Raw genomic sequence first — 24,777 nt, 5'->3', positions numbered from 1 at the left:
ATTGCTGATGAGAAATATATGGGGCTGTTTAATTCCTATTCCCTTTTAGCTAATCTGACTGCTATTTCTCTCTGGTAGCTTCTAAGATTTTCTCTCTGGAATTTTTATTCAGCTGTTTCATTATGTTATTTCTAGGTGTGGTTTTATTTTTATTTAACCTTCTGGCATGGGGAGAATACTTTTGATCTAAGGACATATTTGTGGTGATGGAACATTCTCAGCCATCTTCTCCTCAAATATTTCTTGTTATTTCTTTTCACAATTCTCTTCATTATTCCCTTTATTGCCTGATAAAATTTCTATTAGGTATGTAAGTTCTTCATTTATTACTCTGTAGATCTTAAATATATATATATATTAAATAGTTTAATATTTTATTACTGCAATCATGTAGAATGAATTTATCTTTTGACTGTTGATTTTGTTGGATGCCTTTCTTAATTGTTTTTGTATGTTTTAGAATTTTGGCTTATTTCTCCCTCTCTCTCTCTCTCTCTCTCTCTCTCTCCCTCTCCCTCTCCCTCTCTCATTTCCCCTCACTCCCCTTTCACAGTTGACTTCACCACAGGCCCAGGTCTTGTATTGAGGACAAGGAAATACTGCCCCATAATGCTGTTGAGAATATTTAAGAGCAGTCAGGAAACCCTTTGTAGCTTGGCTTTATTGCAGCAAGTGTGTATGTGCTATTTATACTGGCCTATTTTTATATTTTTGTTTTGTTTTTATATTTTCATGTGTTTTTATATGTTTTTATGTTTTGTTATATTGCAGCAAAGAGGAGGACCTGAACTTCCAAGGCCAACTTGACTGGAAACCCTCTAGTCTTTAATCCATAGAAACCTGACTTCTGTGCCCCCCATGCCTAGAAAACTACTTTTAAAAAGAACATTAGTGGTCACCACGTTGGTAAAGTATTAATAAATAAACATGTTTTAGTTCTAATCATACTTGGCTTTTGGCATGCTTCCTGACTACACTGCATCCCCCCAAATGCTCTGTTATCTTGGCTCCCACAATAGCACACACTTTTTATTTTTAAAAGGTTGTAAAATACACAAAACATAAAACTTATTATCATAACCATCTTTAAGTGCACAGACCAGTGGCATTCCGTACATCCCCACTGCTGTGTGGCCATAACCCATCACCACCATGTGTCTCCAGAACTCTTTTTATCTTGCAAAATTGAAACTCAATACCTGTTAAACCACAATTCCCCATTCCCTGCTGCCCCCTGCCTCTGGCAGCCACCATTCTACTTTCTGTTTCTTTTTTCCAAGACTGGGTCTCCCTCTGTTGCTCATGCTGAAGTGCAGTGGTGTGATCACAGCTCACTGCAACCTCGAACAATCCTCCTGCCTCAAGCAATCCTTCTGCCTCAGCTTCCTGAGTAGCTGAGACTACAGGCATGCACTACTACACCTGGCTAAGGTTTTTAGTTTTTTTTTTTTGGCAGAGATGGGGGTCTCACTATGTTGCCTAGGCTGGTCTTGAACTCTTGGCCTCAAGTGATTCTCAACCTTGATCTCCCAAAGTGCTGGGATTACAGGCATGAGCCACCGCAACTGGTGTCTACTTTCTGTGAGTTTGACTATTCTAGATGTCTCCTATGAGTGGACTTATACAGTATTTGTCCTTTTGTGACTGGCTTTTCACTTAGTGTAATGTCCTCAAGGCTCACCTGTGTGATAACACATCTTTCTACTGACTTCTTTCCAGTCCCCCTGCTGACTTCTTTCTAGTCCCCTCTTTGTTCATCCATGTCTTCATATTGGTCTTCCTCAGCGTTCCCTCCCGGACCCTGTTCTGTCTTCATCATCCCTACCCCTGGGTAATCTTCACTCTCATGGTGTCAGTTACCATCTCCATGGAGGGAATGGGCCTGTGTTTCTAGCCCAGACCTCTCCCCTAGCTCCAAGCTTTGCATCTCCAATTGTCTGTAGGACACTTTTTCTTGAATGGTTTGTAGGCACCTCCAGATCAGCATGTCCCAAGTTCAATTCCTCATATCTTTTTTCCCCCATAAATAAACTACTCCTTCTCTAGGTTTCCTATCTCATTAATTGACACCACCATCTACTCCAACCCAATCTACAAATAAAGATGTCATCTGTGACTCCTTTCTGCCTCCCTTCCCATCCCCTCCAGAGTAAGCCAGTCAATTCCCATTTCATAAACATCCCTGCATCTAACCCATTCTCTCCAAATCTATTGCATATAACCTACAACAGACTACCACTTTTCTAGCCTGAAAAACAGCCTTCCACCTGGCTTCTGTGCCTCCAAATCTTACGCCTCCCTAATTTATTCTCCAAACTGATACTTCTCAAATGCAAATCTGTAATTCTTTTCTGCTTAAAACCTTCAGTGGCTTCTCATTGCCTTTGACAAAATAGCCAAACTTCTCGGCCTGGCTCCTCTCGGCCAACCACGAACCCATCTGCAATTCGTGTTCCAAAAATGAAACACCCTAAAACAATGAAGTCCACTATTTCTTTCCGGGGTCAAGAGAAGAGCTTAGAAGACAAATTCTAGGAGATGATGCCCTCATTCCTTTAGGAAGGCAAACAATTGGATGATAACTAATTAGCATACATGTACTGGTAAAGTCAGCACGTGACCTGGTGAGCTGGCACCAAGATGAGCTGGTGAGCTGGCACCACGGGGCCTGTGGTGCCTTACACATGAACACGCAGCCTGACAGGAGCTGCAGTCTTAGGTATGATGTGAGAAGGATTGCCCCCTTCTGGCTGTGATTCTGAATGTCCCTGAGTTTTTCTGTTCCCTAGCATGATTAACTCACTGGGACATCTTTATTAGAGCTGGATCCATGGTTACAGTTTATAAAGCAATGAGAACAAATTTGAAATATTAATAATGTCCATTCCAGGAAAAAAAAATTAACCACTTTAAGAATCGGAGGGGGAGGGAAGTAATTTTCTACCTCATTGCATGGGTTTGGAGTATAGCTGAGAGCTATTTGGTATGAATACAAGGGGAAGGTTTGTGGAAGATATTTCAGAATGATTCGATGATGAGGCAGCCTGGCTGAGGCTCTGGAGAGCTGGTTTAAAGATGAAAACAAAATGAAAAAAGAAAAATTATTTTTACATAATCTTTTTTTAAAATGGGGATTTTAAAACAGCAAAGTTTTGGGGTGTTTTTTGTTTGTTTGTTTTGTTTTGCCTGGTTTTAGGTTACCTATTCCTTTTAGAAGCTGTAGAAAGATTTTTACCCTGGAGAGGCTCAAATGCAAAGCTAGATCAAATTTTCTATAATTTCGAGGTATCTGTGGCGTCTTTGGAGCTGTTTTATAAATTCACAGGACTCATGAGCTTCAGGTTAAGAACCTCTGTCTGGGAGTTCAGTGAGAAATAAAAGGATGGAGTCTATTTGGGGAGGATCATAAACACTTTTTTTTTTCTTTCAAAGACAGGGTCTTTCTCTGTTGCCCAGGCTGGAGTGCAGTGGCATGATCATAGTTCACTGTAGCCTCACCTCCTGAGCTCAAGTGAGTCTCCTGCCTCAGCCTCCCAAGTAGTTAGATTACATGCATACACCACCATGCCTAGCTAATTATTTTTAATTTTTTTTGTAGATATAGGGTCTCACTATATTGCCCAGGCTGGTCTCAAACTCCTGGGCTCAAGTGGTCCTCCTGCCTTGGCCTCCCAAGCTGCTGGGATTATAGGCATGAGCCACCGTGCCTGGCCCATAAACACTTTTTAAGAGTAAAGCTAAGCCAAACAACCGAGAAAGGACACAAACATGAATTTTTAATGTAGGGATTGCAGCCAAGAGGACAATAGCAGCTGTCCCAGAGTGTCATGAAGATGTTTGCAGAGTATCTCCCAAATGGGAGGCTGATTATATTTAAATTACAAAGGTTTTGCTCTTTTTGGTTAAAAAAACTTCATGCCTTGAATTTGGTTACCAGCTCAGAAAGGTAGGATGAGCTGGGGTGGGAAATGAAACATTGAGAAGTTTGGCCGAGCACGGTGGCTCACACCTGTAATCCCAACGCTTTGGGAGGCCAATGTGGGCAGATCGCCTGACCTCAGGAGTTCAAGATCAGCCTGGCCAACATGGAAAAGCCCCGTCTCTACTAAAAACACAAAAATTAGCCAGGTGTGGTGGCACATGCCTGTAGTCCCAGCTACTCAGAAGGCTGAGGCAGGAGAATCACTTTAATCCAGGAGGCAGAGGTTGCAGTGAGCTGAGATAACGCCACTGCATCCCAGCCTAGGCGACAGAGCAAGACTGTATCTCAAAAAAAAGAAAGAAAGAGAGAAAGAAAGAAAGAGAGCAAGATTGAGAAGTTAAATTCAACTATTCTTACAGGAAAAGTCCAACACTTCCATTTACTTATGGTTGTTGTAATGAAGTGTTGTAATGAAGACAGGACCACATTTGACAATAGATCCTAATATAATTAGGACTTCAATTAAGTAATGAAATGATTACCATTGCCTGGGGCACTTATGCTGGACAGAAAGATGATGCTGCATTGAAACATAATATGGGACAAAAAGAATTCTGGAAAATGTGACCTTCGGGTTTGACATATTTTGACATGCTTACCTTACAAAATTATTTTTCATGAATATTGATAAAATATTCACACCTCCTTTGTGGAAAAAGTCACTGCGATGAGCTTTCATGTGTGCAGTGTTCTTTAGCTAGGGGCATCAGCACACTTTTAGAGTCTAAGGGTTTTTCTTATCTTTCTTGCACCACGATTTCTGCATTTGTAAAAGAGGAACTCATAGAAGCTCAGGTTTGTAGGCAGCCTTGAAAAGTCACCTAATCAGTCTTTAGGCAAGTTCCCCGCAGAAGCAACTCTGACATCCTTGGATGATGCACCCAATCTCAATCAATCCACTGAGATTCTAGAACTGGAGATGTCCACTCTTAATATTGACTCAGGGTCTTCAAAAGATGTGCCAGTGCCCATAAGCTCTGTCCATGGGCGTCATTCTGATCTAACTGCTGCCTCACCTACTGCTTGTCTTCTCTTTGTGACTCCAGACTGAACTGTGATACTGGCCCTTGCACTTGACCTCCCCGAATACCAGCCCCTCTCCTTGTGTTATCTGGTGTCCTAATCAGGCCTTGACTATGAAACTCTTCTTGCCCACCAGTATCCCTTCAGCCCTTGCCATCTCAGTGCCCACCAGCCTGGCTTCCAGTTGCCAGCCCCTGCCTCTTTGCCTGGGATGTCCTCTGGCTGTCAGAGCCTGCTGTGCTCCAGCCTACATGGCACAAGTGCCAAGGAATCAATCACCCCAAGGAATCAATTAATCCCAGAGCACTGACGGGAGTGGTTGATAATTACCCCAGCCTCCTTACCTTTCCCAGGGAACCACTGTTAGGCACATGCTCTGTACTGTTTCCCAGAGTTCTCCAGCAGTATTAAGCTCCACTGGTATATACACTGGTGTCTTTTTAAATAAACTCACCCCTTGTTGCCTGCCCTCTCTTCCCTGTCTTACTTCCACATCACCCAATCTGTGTTTCCTTGGCTCGCCTCCAAGGATCCAAGTTTATTGCAATATTGTTTGCATAACAATAAATGCAATAAACTATCGAAATAAACTTGCATTCAAACTCTTATCTCAGAATTTTTCTCTGGGAACAAAAACTAAGACAGGAATCTCAGACTTACCATATTCAAAACAATCCTGAGCCCTTCTTTGCCCCTCTATCTTCCTTCCGTTCCACACATACCCACACCCTAACTCTTTCTTTCCCAGTTTTCCCCATCTTAGCTAATGCTCCAGCCAGCTCCCCAGTTGGGCAGGCTACAAACCTAGGAGTCATCTTTAGTTCTCTTTCCCTCTCATATCCTACATTCGACCTATCAGCAAGTCCTATTGGCTCTATCCCCTAAGATAAATCCTGAATTCAGCCACTCCTCATCAGCTTCACCGCCATAACCCTCATCCAAGTTACTGTAGCCTCATACCCTGACTGCTACAACTGTGCCCTGCTGTCTCCCCGCTGTACACTCACCCCTATGGCCCACATACAGCAGCCAGGGCAATCTTTGAAAGTATAAATAAATCCTGTTACTCTTCTGCTTAAAACCCTCAAAAAACTCCCCACTGCTACTAGAATAAATACTGAACTCATGGACAATCAGCTCCTGCCTTCTCTTCGCTCCCTGTCTTTTGTGACATTCCTAGTGATGGATTTGTATTTTTTCTTCCCATTGCTTGCACATGCCAAGCTAACTCTTGTTGTACTGTTGGGGTTTAGAAAATGATACCCCAGGCCAGGTGCAGTGGCTCATGCCTGTAATCCCAGCACTTTGGGAGGCTGAGATGGGAGGATTGCTTGAGCCTGGGAATTTGAAGCTGCAGTGAGTTGTTATGGGGCCACTGCACTCCAGCCTGGGCAACAGAGCAAGACCCTCTTCCTAAATGAAAAAAAAAAAGAAAAAAATAGATACCCCAAAATGTGTCAAATATGCCACTTTGGACTTCAAATTGAGTGCATCTGGGAAGCAGCAAATATGGTGGGGAGAGGAGGGTCTCCCTAAAGTTCCCCTATCTACCTAAATGCCAGATCCTCCAGAAGATATCCAATTATTGGGAATTCCTTCCCCAGATATCTCATCAACCGGATATCTTTGCAGGAAGAAGGACTAGAGTAGACTCCATAGCCAGAGCCCACGCTATTGCCTATTATTCAAGCCCATTCATCTCCCCTAAAAATCATTTGCTCTTCCTCTAAAATTGCCTATATCCTCCCTTCCCTCTCCCCTATGAAGAAGATATTTAAACTTCAACCATCTGGCCATTCTTTGAGTTTCACACGTTGTGTGGCTTATGTGCACTTGCATGTTAATAAATTTGTATGCCTTTTCTCCTGTTCGTCTGTCTAAAATCAAGTCTATTTCAGAGAGCAAACCTTCAGAGGGTGGATAGAAAGTTCCTTTTGTCCCAACATAGGGCTTTTGTATTTGCTGTTTCCTCTACCTGGAATACTTTTCCTTTCTATGTTTGTGTTTCGTTGCTATGGTTGCTATATCACAGTGCTGAGATTCCTCTGCAGAAATGAAGAACTTGTTCCCCTAGGTGCTCAAAGTGTTGCCGGCAGATAGCCCTCAGCTGTGAGCCGCCTTCTGGCATTGCCTCTGCCAAAGAGAGATGCCCCTCCCAAGGTCATGCTTCCTTTTTGGAGGAGCCACCATCCAATGACTGATTATCTCATGAGCAGGTGCCTGTCCCCTTGCCCCAACTCAGGGCAACTCTAAAAAGCTATCTCAGCTCCAGAGCCCCCTGCGGGGTCGGCTGAGGCCTTCATAGCTCAGCTTCTCCCTCTGCCCAATGCCACTTCCTTCCTCTCCATTCCATGGGCGCTGATCCCACAAGCACTCCCTGAGAACCTCCTGTGTGCTAATCTTCATTCCAGAGTCTGTTTCCTAAGGATCCCAATTGGTGATATTAATCACTGAAGGTTCAGTCCAATGTTAACCCTTCAAAAAGGGCTGACCACCCAATATAACATTGTATCCCATGGCTGAATGAAGACAAACACTCATGAAAACGTTACAGGACAGGATGAGACTGAAGTCACCATCTGAGAAGGGGTGCAGAGCACTAAGTGCAGTAGGAGACCACGAAAGGGAGACATCAGGGAGGTCAAAGGGCTCAGGGAATCTTCCTGGAAGGGCTTGGGCTTCCCATGGTCCTGGTGAATTCTGAGTTGAATGTTAAGGTTCTGGGCACTCTTCCCTCCTCTGGCTAGATGTCTAAAAACTAGAGGAGCATGATTTCAATCCTGCCCTTCAAGGGGAGCACGGATAGACACGTGAACAGCACTGGCCTTGGACTGATCCACTAATCAGTGACCACTGTCTCTTGATGGAAAGTGATATGTGACTTCACATCTTTTACTTGCTTGTTGGGGGAATCAATAAAAAGAAATATATGAAAGACTTTTTTTGTGTTTTGGAATCAAAGTGCTACAATAATGCAAGCTGAATGGGTGAAAAAACCAGGTGCTTGTGCCCTGGGGTATTGGCAGGAAGGCAGTGTAAGAAATGTTGTGCAGAGAAGGGCTCTCTGAGCATCCCGCGGGTGGAGCCATGAGGACTTTGTACAACACGTGCTGTAGAAGGGTTACTCTCAAACTCGATTCCTCTTCAGATGCAGCACACTTCCTGGCCACTTTTCTATGCTATTAATTTGTGTGTACCATCCTGAGAAATGCAAGCTCATTCAGCAACAGCCTGAGCAAAATATTTTTTAAAAGGGCACACCAGCCGGGTGCAGTGGCTCATGCCTGTAATCCCAGCACTTCGGGAGGCCAAGGCAGGCAGATCATGAAGTCAGGAGATAGAGACTATCCTGGCTAACACGGTGAAACCCTGTCTCTACTAGAAATACAAAAAGTTAGCCAGGCCTGGTGGCACACGCCTGTAATCCCAGCTACTCAGGAGGCTGAGGCAGGAGAATCGCCTGAACCTGGGAGGCGGAGGTTGCAGTGAGCCAAGATCACGCCACTGCACTCCAGCCTGGACAACACAAAGGATAAATGCTTGAGGGGATGTATGCCCCATCTTCCATGATGAGGTTATTATGCATTGCATGCCTGTATCAAAACATCTATGCACCCCATAAATATATACACCTACCATGTACCTGCAAAAATTAAAAATAAAAATTTTTTTTTTAAAAGAGCATACCAGCAGGGCACGGTGGCTCATGCCTGTAATCCCAACATTTTGGGAGGCTGAAGCAGGTGGATCACTTGAGGTCAGGAGTTTGAGACCAGCCTGGCCAACATGGTGAAATCCCATCTGCACTAAAAATACAAAAAATTAGCCAGGCATGGTGGCACTTGCCTGTAATCCCAGCTACTCGGGAGGCTGAGGCAGGAGAACCCAGGAGGCAGAGGTTGCAGTGAGCCAAGATTGTGCCATTGCACTCCAGCCTGGGCAACAGAGTGAAACTTTGTCTCAAAAAAAAGAAGGCACGTGAACTGTGGGAGGCTATCACATCATGCAATCCTAGCCTAAAGATAAATGATGAGTGAATTTCTATTATCAGCCACTGATTTGTATAATAATCGACTAATGAAAAGTGTTTGTTGGATACCTAAGTGTCCAAAATAGGTGAGTTATGGTATTGTTCTTCTCTATTACCACTAACAATTGAATAAATATTGATGACTCACGGATTATCTGATTATTTTACATGTGCATTTACTGAGTAATGGTGTCTCCTGTTGTAGAGGGTTCATTTCCATAGTCTGGCATAGAATATACTGAGAATGCACAGGAACCCACTCTAGATTTTAACCTGTGACCCATAGGCCCCACACAATCTCGTGGCCCTGACACCATAAGACCTTTAGATACAAGAACTGGGCTCAAAAGAGTCTTACGTTGAAAATGAAAATGCACTGTTGCATAAAGAAATGCTCACTGGGCATCTTAGAGCATTCCCATAGGCATTCAGTGGGGCTAGGTTGCACAACATGCTTAGCTAAGCCTGGAAATTTGCTTTTACCAGACAAAATAAGCGCCTTTCCAACTGCCCTCGCAGCTTCGGCAGGAGGGCAGCCTCCTTACCACGCTGCCGCAGCCCACAAAGCACTCAGCTCCAAAGTGTTTCCAAGTTGTTGCTGGCAGAGCTGCCTACCTGGACCCAAAAGCCAAGGAATGCATTTTCTCCCACATGTCCTAAAGCAAATGAATTACTAATAACAGGGCTGGGTTTCAGGTCTCGAAGTGCTTTCTCCAGCATTCTGAGCCCTACCGCAGTGTAAGAATGTTGCAAGGAACTAAGAACTTTATTTTTCCAAATAAGATTTCCTTTCCACAAATTAAACGACTCAGTAGCAGTTGTTTTGACAGAGCTTTAGTCCAGAATGCTGCTGAGGTATTTATACCATGCTCTGCTTAACAAGAGGGCAAGAGGCACCCTGAAGTCTCTCTTCTCAGACGTCACTGACCTAGCCCAGAACTTAAACCTGGAACAGGTAGATGTCCAGGGAACACAGCGTGGAGAGGAGGAAGAGGAGGTTGTTTTTACAGCCTTATAATGACAGGGCACTCTCTGCTCAGGCTCAAGTCCAAATGACATAACCTTTTCATTCAACATAGATAATGAAATGAAACAGATACTTCCAAATGATGTGTGAAAATAAATATTATCTTGGGCAGATCTGGTTTTATACATGGAAGAGGGAACGCAAATTCATAGTGGACCCTTTACGTTCTGGGATTTGAAAAATTCAAATATATCAATACTCAGATATATGTTAATATATCATCTCCCCTGGCTGCAAAGTCTCTGCTCCAACTCTCAGAACTCCCAGCTGTGAAAGCTTTGGACCATGTCTGGCCACTTTGGTAGCTTCTGTTTGGTGTTTCTGCCTCCTAGGGGGGTGATGGGGAAAGGGTGTCATCTGAAGGCACTCTTAGAGTTTGCAGAAACACCTAAGGAACTGTTGTGTGGAAGAGGTACCAGGTCTTATTTGAATTGTTTAGAAGACAGAGCCTCTTTTCTTGCTTAGTAATATACCTGATGGATGAGATCATAGTGATGGTGTTGACATAGCAAAGGGAAAAAAAAATGTGTCCATCAGAAGCGGGACGAGCTAACAGAGGGCCTAGAGAAAGCTAGCATCAGGAGAAGTGTGGATACCATGCCAGTCTGAACCCAGCACCACCCCAGAGGTGTGCCCTTCCATGAAGCATCTGGGTGTGCCACTGGGAAGCAACTTCTCTGTTGTGGAAATAAACATATTTAGTAAAAAGATCTGATGCCATTAAGCACTCAGTTCCCGTAGCTCATTTGTTTTTAGTTTTGGTTTGCCTGTCACGGACCATGCACTCTTCATCATGACTTGAGTATTTTTAGACATAAGTCATTTTATTTGTCATCATGAATTATGAGTTACCAAGGAAGTTCACCATCAGTCTCCATAGGATTGGCTAATTATAAGGACTCCCCTAAGAACTGGACCTCACGCTACCGAGAAAACCAGGGATTGAAGATTTCCATGCTGAAGACTCTAACCTGGACGATGGTGAATTCATCACGATGATATTGTTGGGAAGTACTTTTGCATGTCAGCAAGAAAAATTGTCTCACAACACTCCTGCATTGCTGAGCCTCAAGTAAACATCATGTCTGCACCTTAAAGATGGGGAAACTGAGGCAGTGAGCTGTTAGTAACTTGCCCCAGTAATACCCTACTAAGTGCTGGATCCAGGATTCAGGTAGGGGACAGGTGACTCCAAAGTCTAGCTCTTGCACTGTAACAGGCTTACCCTTGTAGCTCTGCCATGGGAAACTGTTACCTCCTCCTCTAACCTGGCCTTACTCATCTTTCTACTCCTATACGTAGCACAGTGTCCAACAGAAAGCGGGCCCTCACATGTTTTGAATAAATGAACAATGAATGACATTTCTGTGTTCTGGCTTCACAACCTCCCAGTATTTGACCCTAGCTAACACCCTAGGCTTTGGTTATCTTACTCATGTCATGGAGATGCTCATGCCTGCCCACATCCTCAAAGTGTTATTTAAGGAATCTAATGAACTTGGGCTTGTGTGCCTACTTTTATAAGTGGTGAAATATTATCTAAGTATAACTATTTAAAGTGATTCAACCCTGAGATGTGTATCCTTACTGCTGTATCCAAGAGCACAGAGATTTTCTTTGGTTCTAGATGCTGCGATACGTTCCTTCTGTCTTTCAGCTCTCCACAGTTTCAGGAAGTGGATGACTTTCTCAGCTGCATTATATAGATGGGGCAGCTGAAATTCAGAGAGGTCAAAGAACCTGCCCAAGACACATAGCTAGTAAGGGAAGGCATGGGATTTGAACCTAGGTAGTTAACCATTACACTATACTCCCTCCCACAGCAAATGGTCTTTCCTATGCTAAATGGTCTAATGGCTAAATGATCCTTCCTATGCTGTCAGGAAGAAAACAGATTAAAAAAAAATAATAAAATGATGGGACATCAGAGCTAGAAGTGATTATCTGGCCTAATCCTCTTCATTGAAGAAGTGATGAGACTGATATGCCCCAAGAAAAAAGACTTGACCTTGAAATGTAGGAACTTGGTTGTGAGTTTGGTCCTTGGAAAGTGGTCTTTCTGCTATCACATGACTTGAAAGGTGGAGCAGATTCTCTCCTTCTCTGATAGGATCTCAGGGATAGCCAGGTCATCCCAGAGAACACCCCAATTCCAGCATGTGGGGCAGGTCTATTGCTTTAGATTCTCACTCTCCATGTTTCTAATACCTTAATGCCAAGGCTGTCTTTTTTTTTTTTAATAATTTCAATTTATTTTAGATTCGAGGGTGCATGTGCAGGTTTGTTACATGGGTATATTGCATGATGCTGAAGTTTAGGGTACGGTTGATCCCATTGCCCAGGTAGGGAGCATAGTATCTAATAGTTTTTCAACCTTTTCCCCCACCCGCCTTTCTTTCCTCCCTCTGGTAGTCCCCAGGGTCTATCGTTCCCATATTTATGCCCATGTGTACCCAATGTTTACCTCCCACTTATAAGTGAGAACATGCAATATTTGGTTTCCTGTTTCTTTTTTGTTTGTTTGTTTTTGAGATAGAGCCTCACTCTGTCACCCAAGTGGAGTGCAGTTGCGCAATCTTGGCTCACTGCAACCTCCACCTCCCGGGTTCAAGCGATTCTCCTTCCTCAGCCTCCCTAGTAGCTGGGATTACAGATGTGTGCCACCACAACTGGCTAATTTTTGTATTTTTAGTAGAGAAGGGGTTTCACCAAGTCGGCCAGGCTAGTCTCGAACTCCTGACCTCAAGTGATCTGCCTGCCTTGGCCTCCCACAGTGCTGGGATTACAGGCTTGAGCCACCATGTCCAGCCAGGTTTTCTTCTTCTACATTAATTCTCTTAGGATAATGTCCTTCAGCTGTATTCATGTTGCTGCAAAGAACATGATTTTGTTCTTTTTATGGCTGCATAGTATTCCATGTTGTATATGTACCACATTTTCTTTATTCAATCTACCGTTGATGGGCAGCCAAAGGTGATTCTTAAGTAAATATGGAGGTGGAGGTATGGGAGGCTGTCTCTGCTCAAATCAGTACATCTAAGCATGAATTGGCTTGTTAGATTAGCTAGAGCACCCTTATAGGAAATCCCTTTACACTAGTAGTAAATGAGGGAAGAAAAATGATGGAGGGGAGGGTGGGGAAGGTAGGTCCTCGAGCACAAGGCTTGGCTGGGCAAGGCTTTCACTTTGAGTTTGTGAGAAAACTGGGCATGGGAAAGAACAGGGAGAAGTTGGAAATCGATGGACTGCAAAGTAGGAAGGAAATTGGAAAGGGGGATGAAGAAGTAAAAAAGCCAATGATTCTCTCTTTAACCCATGTCCAGCCTACTGAACAGTTTCCCCAACACCATTTGAGGGTTCTAGTAGAGACAAGCTCTCTGCCCTCTCCTACATCCAGCCAATGCCCTTTCTTACCTGGAAACCCTGCTCAGTTGGCAGGAAGCCTCCCCAGGTATGCAAGAGTACAATCCTCTGGGGCTCATTTTTCTTAAGGTAGTGGAACAGTAAAGATGAAAAAGAGCATTCTCTTTCCCTGGGAACTTTAGTGCACAGAATTCCTGCAAGGTTCCCAGAACTGAAGATTAGCTTTCCTACAATAATGAGAAAGAATCAGGTGCAAGGAGAGGGTTTCTAGTATTTTCCACCTAGTATGTATATCACTAAGCATGTATTTTAGTAGTGATTTTTCCCCTTTTACATATTATATAACAAATGTCCTAAATTTTGTATAAATTAAAATTTATGCAATTATATACTGTGACATAAATATAGGCCCTTTATGAGAAATCAAGCAATATAAAAGATGGAATTAAAAAGTATAGTTCTACTTCTTTCATTCCACTCAGTCTTCAAAGATTAACCACTTAGCATTTTAAGACATATTCCTATCAGCCTCTTAATATGTGTTTACATTTAACTAAATCTATCTGTCTATCACCTGTATTTCTTTTTTTTTTTAATTTTTTTTTTTTTGAGATGGAGTCTCACTCTGTTGCCCAGGTTAGAATGCAGTGGCATGATCTCAGCTCACTGCAACCTTCACCTCCCAGGTTCAAGTGATTCTCATGCCTCAGCCTCCTGAGTTGCTGGGATTACAGGCACATGCCACCACACCTGGTTAATTTTTGTATTTTTAGTAGAGATGGGGTTTTGCCATGTTGGCCAGGCTGGTCTCGAACTCCTGACTTCAAGTGATCCACTGGCCTCAGCCTCTCAAAGTGCTAGGATTACAGGCGTGAGCCACTGCGCCCCGCCTGTATTTCTTATATAATTTTAGTGTTTTGATTTTTCATTTTTTTTGATAAACCAGATAGACTGTAAACATTGCTTTGCAACCTGCTTTTTAAAAAAAACTGTGTCCTGAAAATCTTGGCATATCAGTACATTTGCCTTTATCATGTTCTTTATAACTTTTGGATAGTATTCTGTAGCATGGATATAATTTATTATTATTATTATTTGAGACAGAGGCTCACTCTGTCACCCAGGCTGCAGTGCAGTGGCATAATCTTGGCTCACTGCAACCTCTGCCTCCCGGGTTCAAGTGATTCTTGTGCCTCAGCCTCTCAAGTAGCTGGGACTACAGGCATGTGCCACCATGCCCAGCTAATTTTTGTGTTTTTAGTAGAGATAGGGTTTTGTCATGTTGGGCAGGCTGGTCTCAAACTTCTGGCCTCAAGTGATACGCCCACCTCGGCCTACCAAAGTGCTGGGATTGCAAGCATGAGCCACCGTGCCCAGCCTGGACATTATTTCCTTAACCAGTTTTCTACTATGAGACATATTTGTTGCCCAGCTTTTTTGTTTTTGCAAACTGTGCCAGAATGAGCAAGCTTATACTTGCATCTTTGTGCACCTGCACAAGCATGTTTGTAGGGAAAATTCATAGAAGTGAAATTGCTGGGTCAGAAGGTATGTGTATTTAAAACATTTACCAATACTGTCAAACTGTCCTTCAAAAAAGTCTGTTACAATTTATACATTTTCTGCATAGCTTGTTCAATATTTGATATTATGAATATCTTGCTAGTATGATGAGTAAAACTCGTACATGGTTTTGGCTAATTTGCATTTTCTGATTACTAGTGAGACTGAGCTTCTTTTCACATATTAATGGCCATTTGCATCCTTCTTTTGTGGATGAAGTCCTAAGGTTTTACAAAGAAGCAAAACATAACTCTCTGTATAATAAGATATTACTATAGACCGAATGCTTGCATTCCTATAACTCATATGTTGAAGTCCTGACTGCCAAGGTGATGGTATTAGGAGGTGGGGCCTTTGGGAGGTGATTAGGACATGAGGGTAAAACCCTCATGAATGGGATTAGTGCCCTTATGAAAATGACCCCCGAGAGCTCTGTTAACTCTCTTTCTTGCCACGTGAGGATCCAACAAGAAATTGGCAGTCTGTAACTTGAAAAGTGGCTGTCACAAGAAACCAACCATGCTGGCACCTGGTTTTGGACTTCCTAGCCTCTGGCACTGTAAGAAATAATTTTCTGTTGTTTATAAGCCACCCAGACTGTGGTACTTTGTTATAGCAGCCTGGACTAACCAAGACAGATACCTGTATATTCTAAAGTATGAATAAAAGGCAAAAAAGAGGTAAAGTTATTGATGGAGTTGGACTGTCATGTGCATTTGGTGACTTATTATGGAAATTATATTCTGAAGGTTGCATGGATACAGATAAATTCTAATTTGGACAGAGGATACATTTGTAGAGAGCACTTCCTTTAGTCAAATCTGATATAAAATATGAAAATCCAGACTTAGAGACAGATTTATTCAGGAAGTGATTATTTGCTTTACAAATGGTTTCACCATAGCGTTCCCTTATATAGTCAGCTCTTCTGTGTGTATTTAAAAGAAAATGCCCTCTTATAAAAATGTGTTTGCACACACAGTGTTAAGAATGCATCTGACACGTGAAGAAATGTAGGTCTCCTAAAATATGTGCTATGCTTACAGGTGAAGCTGTTCCTTTTTTAAAGATGTCTGTTGTGATGGGGAAGGGTATAGAGTGTGTTTTCTCCCCTTTTCTCTCCCTTTTGAAACAGTAAAGAAAATAGGTAAAGAGTGATGTTCTGCCCTCTGGTAGGCACAGGTTATTGCTGGGATCAACCTAGGTGTGATCCAACCTGGTTCCCAAAAACCTGGCACTCACCTGCCCTCAAATTCTCCAGGAAGACAACCGGTAGGCCTGTGGCTTCTTTGACGGTCTTGGTTAGTGATGGCCAGCTCCTCTTCCAGCCATAGCTCTACCACCAGAGCTGTCCTTGAGGTTCATGGTTACCCCTGAAATCTCTTAAGAGGCATAATGTAGAAACATTGTAAACTTGAACTCCAGTTGCATGACTTTCCTCTGAGGCCCACCTTGTTATCCACAGACAGATCCCTGTTTTCTACCTTCCTGAGCTCCTAAGAAATGTTCTACAACCTCTTTGCTAATCTCCACCTTTTCCTGGGGGATAGCGGCCACTTTGTCTTGGAACTCAAAGCCTCGAACACTGAGCTAGTCACCAACACTGCTTTAGATGCTGCTACCTGAGTTAAACAGGATTTCCCACCACCAGAGGGAAGGTCCACAGGAAGGTTTTTATCCATTTTGTATATACCCCACTTGCCTGAAAGTGAGTAGCTATGCCTCCCCAGGACCCAGAGGTATGACAATATCCAGAACTTTCCAGATCATGAAATAACATGTTTTCTTATTTAAGAGGGACAAATAGAATAGGCTCTCTCCAGATCTGAGTTTGTTAAAAATGACCCCCGAGAGCTTTTCTTTGCAAGTACTTCCATTACTTACAAAATGTTCACCAATCATATCATTTTGCCAACTTCAGTATTATAATAAAATCAATTTCAGGTAAAGCTAGTTGTATCTCACTGTTCTTTGCATCAATATTCTCCTTATTTTTCTGAATGAATTTTAGATTTATTATATTAAGTTCGATAAAGTAAGCGATTAGAATTTTAACTGGAATAGTGTTAAAACTCTGACATGTAACTGGAGAGAATTATCATGTTTACTGTATTTCTCTCTCCTTTAAGGAACATGGTACTTTGCTCCAGTTGCATTAGGTCAGTTCCCAAGCATTTTATATTTTTGCCTGCTTTTAAAAACATCATCATATTTTAATTATATTTTCTTTTTTTTGGTATGGAACTGAAATTTGGAGATAGCTCTCATAACCAGACATTTTATTGAACTTTTAGTCTTTACTAACTTTTGTATTTACTTCTTTGGGTTTATTATAAACACATTTTTGCCATTTGAAAACCATCTTTTTCTTGCCTTTTTTAGAGTTTTAAACCCTCTTGGCACATCTTACCAGGTTCCATGGCTTTAACAACCAGCCATATGCAGAAGAAAACATGAAGGCTTATGTTAGGAAGCATTTATCTGAGATAATGGGATCCTGGAGGAAAAGTGACTCACAAGTCAAAGGAAGGAAGACTTTCAAGGTGAGAGGATTCATCCAGGAATTCTACTTGTCAGAATCTCCCTTAAAGAAATAATTTAAAATGCGAACAAAAGTTGATGTGTAAGTGTTCAGAGTATTACTTACCCAAGCCAGAACTTGAAAACAATCTAAGTGTACTACAATTAGGAAATTGATAAATAAATTATGGCATTCCATGTAATGAAGTAGTATGTGAGCATTAAAAAATAACATTTGCAGCTGGGCATGATGGCTCATGCCTGTAATCCCAGCATTTTGGGAGGTTGAGGCAGGAGGATCGCTTGAGTCCAGGAGTTCAGCACCAGTCCAGGAGTTCAGCACCAGCAATGTAGCAAGACCTTGTCTCTAGTAAAAATTTAAATAACTAATTGGGCATGGTGACATGCACCTATAAAGTTCCAGCTACTCAGGAGGCTGAGGTGGAGAAAACACTTGAGTCCAGGAGTTCAAGGCTGTGGTGAGCCATGCTGGTGCCACTGCACTCCAGCCTGGGTGGCACAGCAAGATCCTATCTCAAAATAATAATAATAATAGTAATGACAGTGTTTGCAAGGGATATTTGATCACTTAAGAAAATAGTCATTGATTGTTTATTTTAAAAGCAAGACATGAACTAAATATCATCTAAACTTGAAATCTAAGTACATGACACAGAAGAAAGAATGGAAAGACGTTACTTGTGGTTATTTCTAGATTGTGGCAGTATGAGTCATTTTCTTCCTTGTATTTTCTTTATTTTTAATTCTCTACAGTAAGCATGTAGTACTTTGTGATAAAAAGAACACCTGCTGTGGCCTGAATGTTTGTACCATCTGCCCCTCATTCACATGTTGGAGCCTAATCCCCAGTGTGATGGTATTAGGAGCTGGGGCCTTTGGGCATAAGAGCAGAGTCTTCTGATGACATTAGTGCCCTTATAAAGAAGAGACTAGAGAGATGACCTTTCTCTGAAATATGTGAGGATGCAAATCTGGAGGTAAGCTCAAATTAAACACCGAATCTGCTGGCACCTTGATCTTGGACTTCTCAACCACCAGTACTGTGAGAAATAGATGTTTGCTCTTACATCCCCCATGGTATACTACTTTTGTTATACAGCCCAAGCAGACTAGGATAGACATCATAATATTCATTATAAATACAAAAAGAAAAATGAGGAGAAGGAGGGAGAGGTTGGGGTAAGTAGCAAAGAGAAAATTCAAATAGGATTTGACTATTAGAGTTAAGCCACCAGAGCCCGGGTGCTCCAGGTGAGCTCAGCCTTTCAGCCATCCCTGGCAAGGCAGCAGACACACAGGATGAGCTATCTTGGGGTCTCCAGACCAGTTCATCCAGCAGTTACTAAATGACCTCTGTGGCTGACGTGTAGAATGGACAAATCGCCCAGCCACACTCAGACTGAATTCTTGATACACGTAATTGGGAAATAAAATAAAAGGTTGCTGTTGGAAGCCAGTATATTTTGGGTTAGCTTTCTAGGCAGCCATAGATAACTGGAACAGTGGGGTATGGCTATTTTTGCATGAGCTGCTCTTCGTTTGCATAGAGAAGTAACTGGGCATTCTTGCTTGGTTAATTTCCTTGTGGCACCCATAAAAATCATGGGAAACATCTGGGAAGTGCATGGGCTCCCAGACGGGGGAATTCCAGTAAGAAAAATTCTACTTTTCACAGTCCTTGGTCTTTTATATTGCCCCTTAAAGAATTCTTCCAGGAAATTGTCCATGTCTTTCCTCCCCATCAACTATCTGCTAGCTGCTTTAATTATTTTAATTGAACTTAGATATGAAGCAAAGGTAATTGGATGAGGGAGTGAAGGTGCTCTAAGGAGGAAGGAGCCCTATGAAAATGCTGTGTGCTGGCCTGACAGGAGAGTGACAATTCATCAGGAGGGGGGTTTGGGTTCTGAAATAAGCATTTTCATTGTTCTTACTGTAGAGACCACATGTCTGGGCTGCTTTTAATCCCCCTAAAGGAATTCTCCTCTAAGGTGTGAAGTGCAGCCCCAGTTCCTGAGTTGTTAGAGCTGTGATGGTCCCCAGGGATCCTTTAATCCTGCCTCTTCATTTCACAAAAGAGGAAACTAAGCTCTCATATGTGTAGGGGACAGGTTCTGAATCACAGTTTGTAACTGGCAGAGAAGTGGCGGAAAACCCATTCCCTGACATACCCTTGTATCATGTCAGTATAAGATGAGAAATGCGAGAAGAGGAACAAAAAATACTGATTTTTAGCACGTAATCAGCAGGTTCATTCACCTGCCAGTTTGTTAACTTCCTATCCCTGCAATAAGTGCTGGAAATTTCTCCCTTATGAGAATGAATAATAGGTAGTGACGTATTTGACAAGTGTCAGCAGGTCCTGGGGTTAGCCACCTCTACGCTGAGTGGAGCTGAGCAACCAGGGAAGATGCAAGAATTCAGGGCAAGTTGGAAAGAGGCCAGTGGCCTCCCACCCTGGACAGCCAAGGCAGGTGGAGGGCCCATCCCTGCAGCTCCCTGGCCCTGGACCCCAGGATGCCTTACTTTAAGCCTTTTGGAACTGCTAGCAGGACATTGTGTTTGCTGGGAACGTGCTCTTTGAAAAATCTTGCACTGGGTACACGCCTTTTGTCAGCCATATGCTGTTTTCTCTTTTTAGCTTCTGAATATGGATGTGTGGCTGTTTGTGTGATTAACAAAGTTACATAAGGACGGATTCAATAGGTAATATTTACAATCAGGCTAATTTTCTTAACGACGCTGTTGCAAGAATTCTCTTTTTGAAACTCTATTCTCCTAGGTATTTATCTTACAGCTTGTGGTGCATTTTGAGATTTGTTCATCTTAATTCAATTACTAAGACAAGATAAAAATTAGCAACACTTTACCCTCCTTCTGGTCTTCAGGTTCTCTATGAAGTTTTAGATTGAGGGAAAAAGGAAGTTAAATTTGTATCTACCAAGTATCTCTAAGGGGCATAAATGTATTCAAAATGTTCAATTATGCTCCAAATTGATCTCTAAGGTGATTCATATACACTATTCTTAAAAAGTAAATGATTCTGAGCTAATATAGTAATTTCAAACAAAAATAAAATGCTGGCTGGGCACAGTGGTTCACATCTGTTATCCCAACACTTTGGGAGGCTGAGGCAGGTGGATCACCTAAGGTCAGGAGTTCGAGATCAGCCTGGCCAACATGGCGAAAGCCCGTCTCTACTAAAAATACAAAAATTATCCAGGCATGGTGGCGCATGCCTATAATCCCAGCTACTCAGGAGGCTGAGGCAGGGAGAATTGCTTGAACCCAGGAGGGGAGGTTGCAGTGAGCCGAGATCGCACCACTGCACTCCAGCCTAGACGACAGAGTAAGACTCTGTCTCAAAAAAATAAAAATGAAAATAAAAATAAAAAATAAAATGCTTCTGGTCCCAAAGCTAGACGAAGCTACCTCGTTCCCCCTTGCTATGCATATGGTAAAAATAATGTATGTTCTGTTTGTTCAAACCTTGCGTTTGTTTGGTAGCATAGGCATTTTGTTTTACGTTCCAGACAACATCTGTCTGCTGCAAAATCTCAGCCAGTTCCTGTGTTACCTGAGCAAAGGAGACAGTGTTGAAGGCCCCTAGAGGCCCATAAATTAATTCTAAAAACACCAATGCAATCAGTTTTCTGGGGCTGAGCATGAGGATGTATGATCTTGGAAATCAATCCGTGTAAAAAGAATCAAATAAAGAGGGTTGGGTTGTCTAAAGCAATGATCTTTGCTAAATTTAATGCAGAGGAGGAGGCTATTGAGATAACTCTGATTATTCCTGCCCATCTTCCTCATTTCTTTAGGATTTCTCAACTGTGGTCAGTAGAGAAATTATTTCTTACCATGACCCATGAGACTTCACAGTTGGAATAATTTGACAAAGCCATATTGGCCCAGTGGAACAAAAAAACGGTCTTATAAATTACCACTTCACACCAGCATGTATTTGCATATGTGGGCTAAGCAGACTCTGCTCAATCTCAAAAACACTCATATAAGGCAAATTCATCATGCACTGTTCAGAACTCAGCATTCTCAAAAATTTAAAGCATCAAACGTAAGATTTCCCAAGGCTAGAGAATATACAGTTGGCAGCTCCTTCTGGGGAAAAAATATGATATGACATTTGTACAACTATTTTAAAATTTAGTCAAAAATTCTAGAGCCCAACACTTGGAAGCAATGGCTGAGTCTTGGAAGAGCTCTCTGTAGTGATAGGAACTCAGCCAGAGACCTGGGGGTCACTGCAGCCTAGTCAAGCCCGGGGAAGGATGCTGTGCAGAGCCAAGACATGCACATGATCTTTTGCCAAGTGCAATCGCATTGACATTGAAGTGTTGCTGTAAAGGCAATGGCCTGGAATATGAAATGTGATCAGAACTGAGGAGAGGGAACCTAGACAGAAATTCAAACTGATAGGGCAGTCAACGTAAGGTGAAGGTGGATGGGGAGCTGTGGGGTGCCGGTAAATGTTTAACAGCCAGCTCTCTGGAAAAAAGTATATGTGTTTGTTATACATTTTTCTGATATAAAGGATGTGTAGGCCAGGTGCAGTGGCTCACGCCTGTAATCCCAGCACTTTGGGAGGTCGAGGCACGTGGATCACTTGAGGACAGGAGTTCGAGACCAGCCTGGCCAACATAGCAAAACCCCATCTTTACTAAAAATACAAAAACTTAGCCGAGCTTGGTGGCTCATGCCTGTAATCCCAGCTATTCAGGAGGCTGAGGCATGAGAACCACTTGAACCCAGGAGGAGAATGCTGCAATGAGCTGAGATCACGCCATTGCACTCCAGCCTGGGTGACAGAGTGAGACTCTGTCTCAAAAAAATAAAAAAAAATTTTAAAAAAGAGTGTGTATCAGACAGTTTACAAGTAATAGTAACATATACAATGCTCTTTATTATAAATTCCATATAGCCATTTGATCCTCACAGAAAGTTTTGCTCTTTTTGTCAAATTCTTATATCCATAGTCAACCTATGGTTGTGTCAATGATCATTTGAAAAGGGAGTAAGTGGAGTTGTATCCCAATCTGATACCTATTTCCCCAATAAATTGCTTTCATTAAATTGAATATGTGATCTACCATTAGACTTTCGCACTCTCATATACATTATATTCATTAAACTGAAATCTCTTTCAGCTTTACCACAAGATCACTCTATCATTTTGGCATTTTAGGGATCTGAATCTAAAAAATAATTGTATGTTACATCAGTAAAAGTCACAAGACTGAGTGAGCATTAATGTAAAATTTTGTTAATTTCTTTATGTAATTATAGAAAAAATTTTCAAGCTAACATATTTACCTTAGTTTTCAATTTATACGTCTATATTACTCTGACTTGCAACTTCCTCAAAATCCACTATCAGTTATAATAATTCTGTCATCGACAACAGTGTCATAAAATCAGACTATGAATAAATGCTTAATAACTTTCCAATTCGGTAAAGAAGTTGCTCATATCATTGACGGATGAGTGTGGTTAAGATATGAATGTTGGTTGATGTTTTCATGTACTTTAACATGTAAGATGAAAGTGAAACAATGAAGATGAATGTTGGAATGTCACTAATTCATCATGACAGGAGCAACCGCTTTCCCGAATTAGATAATAGTTTTCAATACTGGAATATTATTTCCTCAAATTTTTAATGCTATTCAGAATGGAACAGCTGCATTTGTGCTACACTTTTAATTTTAATCCACATTCTTGACATTTTATCATTTTCTTAAGTCTACACAATCAACAAAACAGTAAATCAAGGCCCATTTTATATCATTGGCCAATTTCTACAGTGTAAATACTTTCACTTCCATCGATTTCAAGCTACCACCCTGACATCACTGAACTTGGAGTTGAACAGTAGCACAGCATTACGTATTTCCCCCGTACAGATTTGACAGATGTCAATGACAGTAAAGTGCAGTAAGATCACAAAGTGGTGAGTTTTGGGTATTTATTACCTTTGTTTTAATATAGTTTATGTAGTGGAAGGGTTACATCATTTAATTGTTTAATAACTATATTTAACAATCGCCTCTGAAAATTCCTGAACGTTTAGCCACCAGCTCTTCACAAGCTGGTATAGGCCATACCCCTGGTGGAGGGACAGACAATAAGGGAGAAACGGAAGGGAGGCCAGTGGAAACTACTGGACGCTCTCCCTTATCCCTGAGCATTGGATTCTGAATCTGGTTGGAAATGGAGGTGATTCAAGATGTGATATGGAGACATCGCTTTATTTTGGGGCTCACTGGTTCCTCGGCATGGAATTGGGACTTCATTCCAGGCTTACTTCCAATGGAACAGGAAGTGTTTATATCCCTTTTGTTCTTGCTTGATGGGCTTAAAACAGAAGGGAGACTAGGCCCTTGGTTGTTGTAGGGTTGTCAGTAGGTTGTGCCAACAGGACCTATAGAAAAGGAAGAGGAAAGAGAAATCAGGCAGAGCTGTCAGAAAGACGCCTGTGGTGCTGTTCTGCAGGGAGCAGGTCTGTGCAAACCTACTCCAAAAGGCTGAGGGAGCTGGGAGGCTGAAGAAGGAGGCCAAAGAAGGAGGCCGATAAATCCACTTTTTTCGAAAGAAACACTTAATAGGGACTTATGGTAGAAGCCATGTCTCTGGTGGCCCTGAGAGAGTGGATCCCTGCCCTGGCCCTCCAAGAAGTATTCTTTCCATGGCAAGTTTTTAGGGCAAAGCATGCAGCTGGTCATGTCTCAGATCCTCCTGCGAAAATTAAGACCACTGGGGAAGTGAGATAAGCATCTTCGTGAGGAGTTATCTATGCTACAGGTATTGTTTCTTGACCTAGCCGCAGGAACGCCTTGGTGTGCTGGAGTCAAACATGGGTCATTATGGTGCTTTCGCTTCAAGATGGCGTCACTCTTGCTATGCAGCAGGCTGTTTTCCTACAGGCGCCTACCTCTGCTCTGCACCTTTAGGCTAGCCCAGCACACCTAGGCACACATCAGCCTGCTGGCCCATGAAACAACTCAGTGGACATGCGGGATATTATAGTACCTGTGGGAATGATTTCAAATCTTTCTGTGTCTGCAGCCTGTTTTGCTCTCTCAGGTGCCCTTCACAACCTCATTTGGACCCACTGATATGGGCACTGAATCTCTGAAGCTCTGATTCTTGGATCCATCTCGAGGCTCTGGCTTGAAAAATATTTTAAAAATCATATGTGTTGATGGCAAGGGTGCAGTAAAATAGACACCT

At 42.2% G+C, this 24,777-nt stretch overlaps 1 long non-coding RNA gene across 1 annotated transcript; it reads left to right on the top strand.

Moving 5' to 3' along the window:
• The first annotated feature begins 550 nt into the window (after positions 1-550).
• On the top strand, positions 551-942 carry LINC01897 (long intergenic non-protein coding RNA 1897). Its single transcript, XR_007066389.1, has 2 exons — positions 551-676; positions 772-942. It is a non-coding gene; the product is annotated as a long intergenic non-protein coding RNA 1897 (long non-coding RNA).
• Positions 943-24,777: the final 23,835 nt, after the last annotated feature.

This window comes from Homo sapiens, chromosome 18 (genome assembly GCF_000001405.40).
Source record: "Homo sapiens chromosome 18, GRCh38.p14 Primary Assembly".
Taxonomy (NCBI): Eukaryota; Metazoa; Chordata; class Mammalia; order Primates; family Hominidae; genus Homo; species Homo sapiens.
This window is presented reverse-complemented; position numbering and strand designations above follow the sequence as displayed.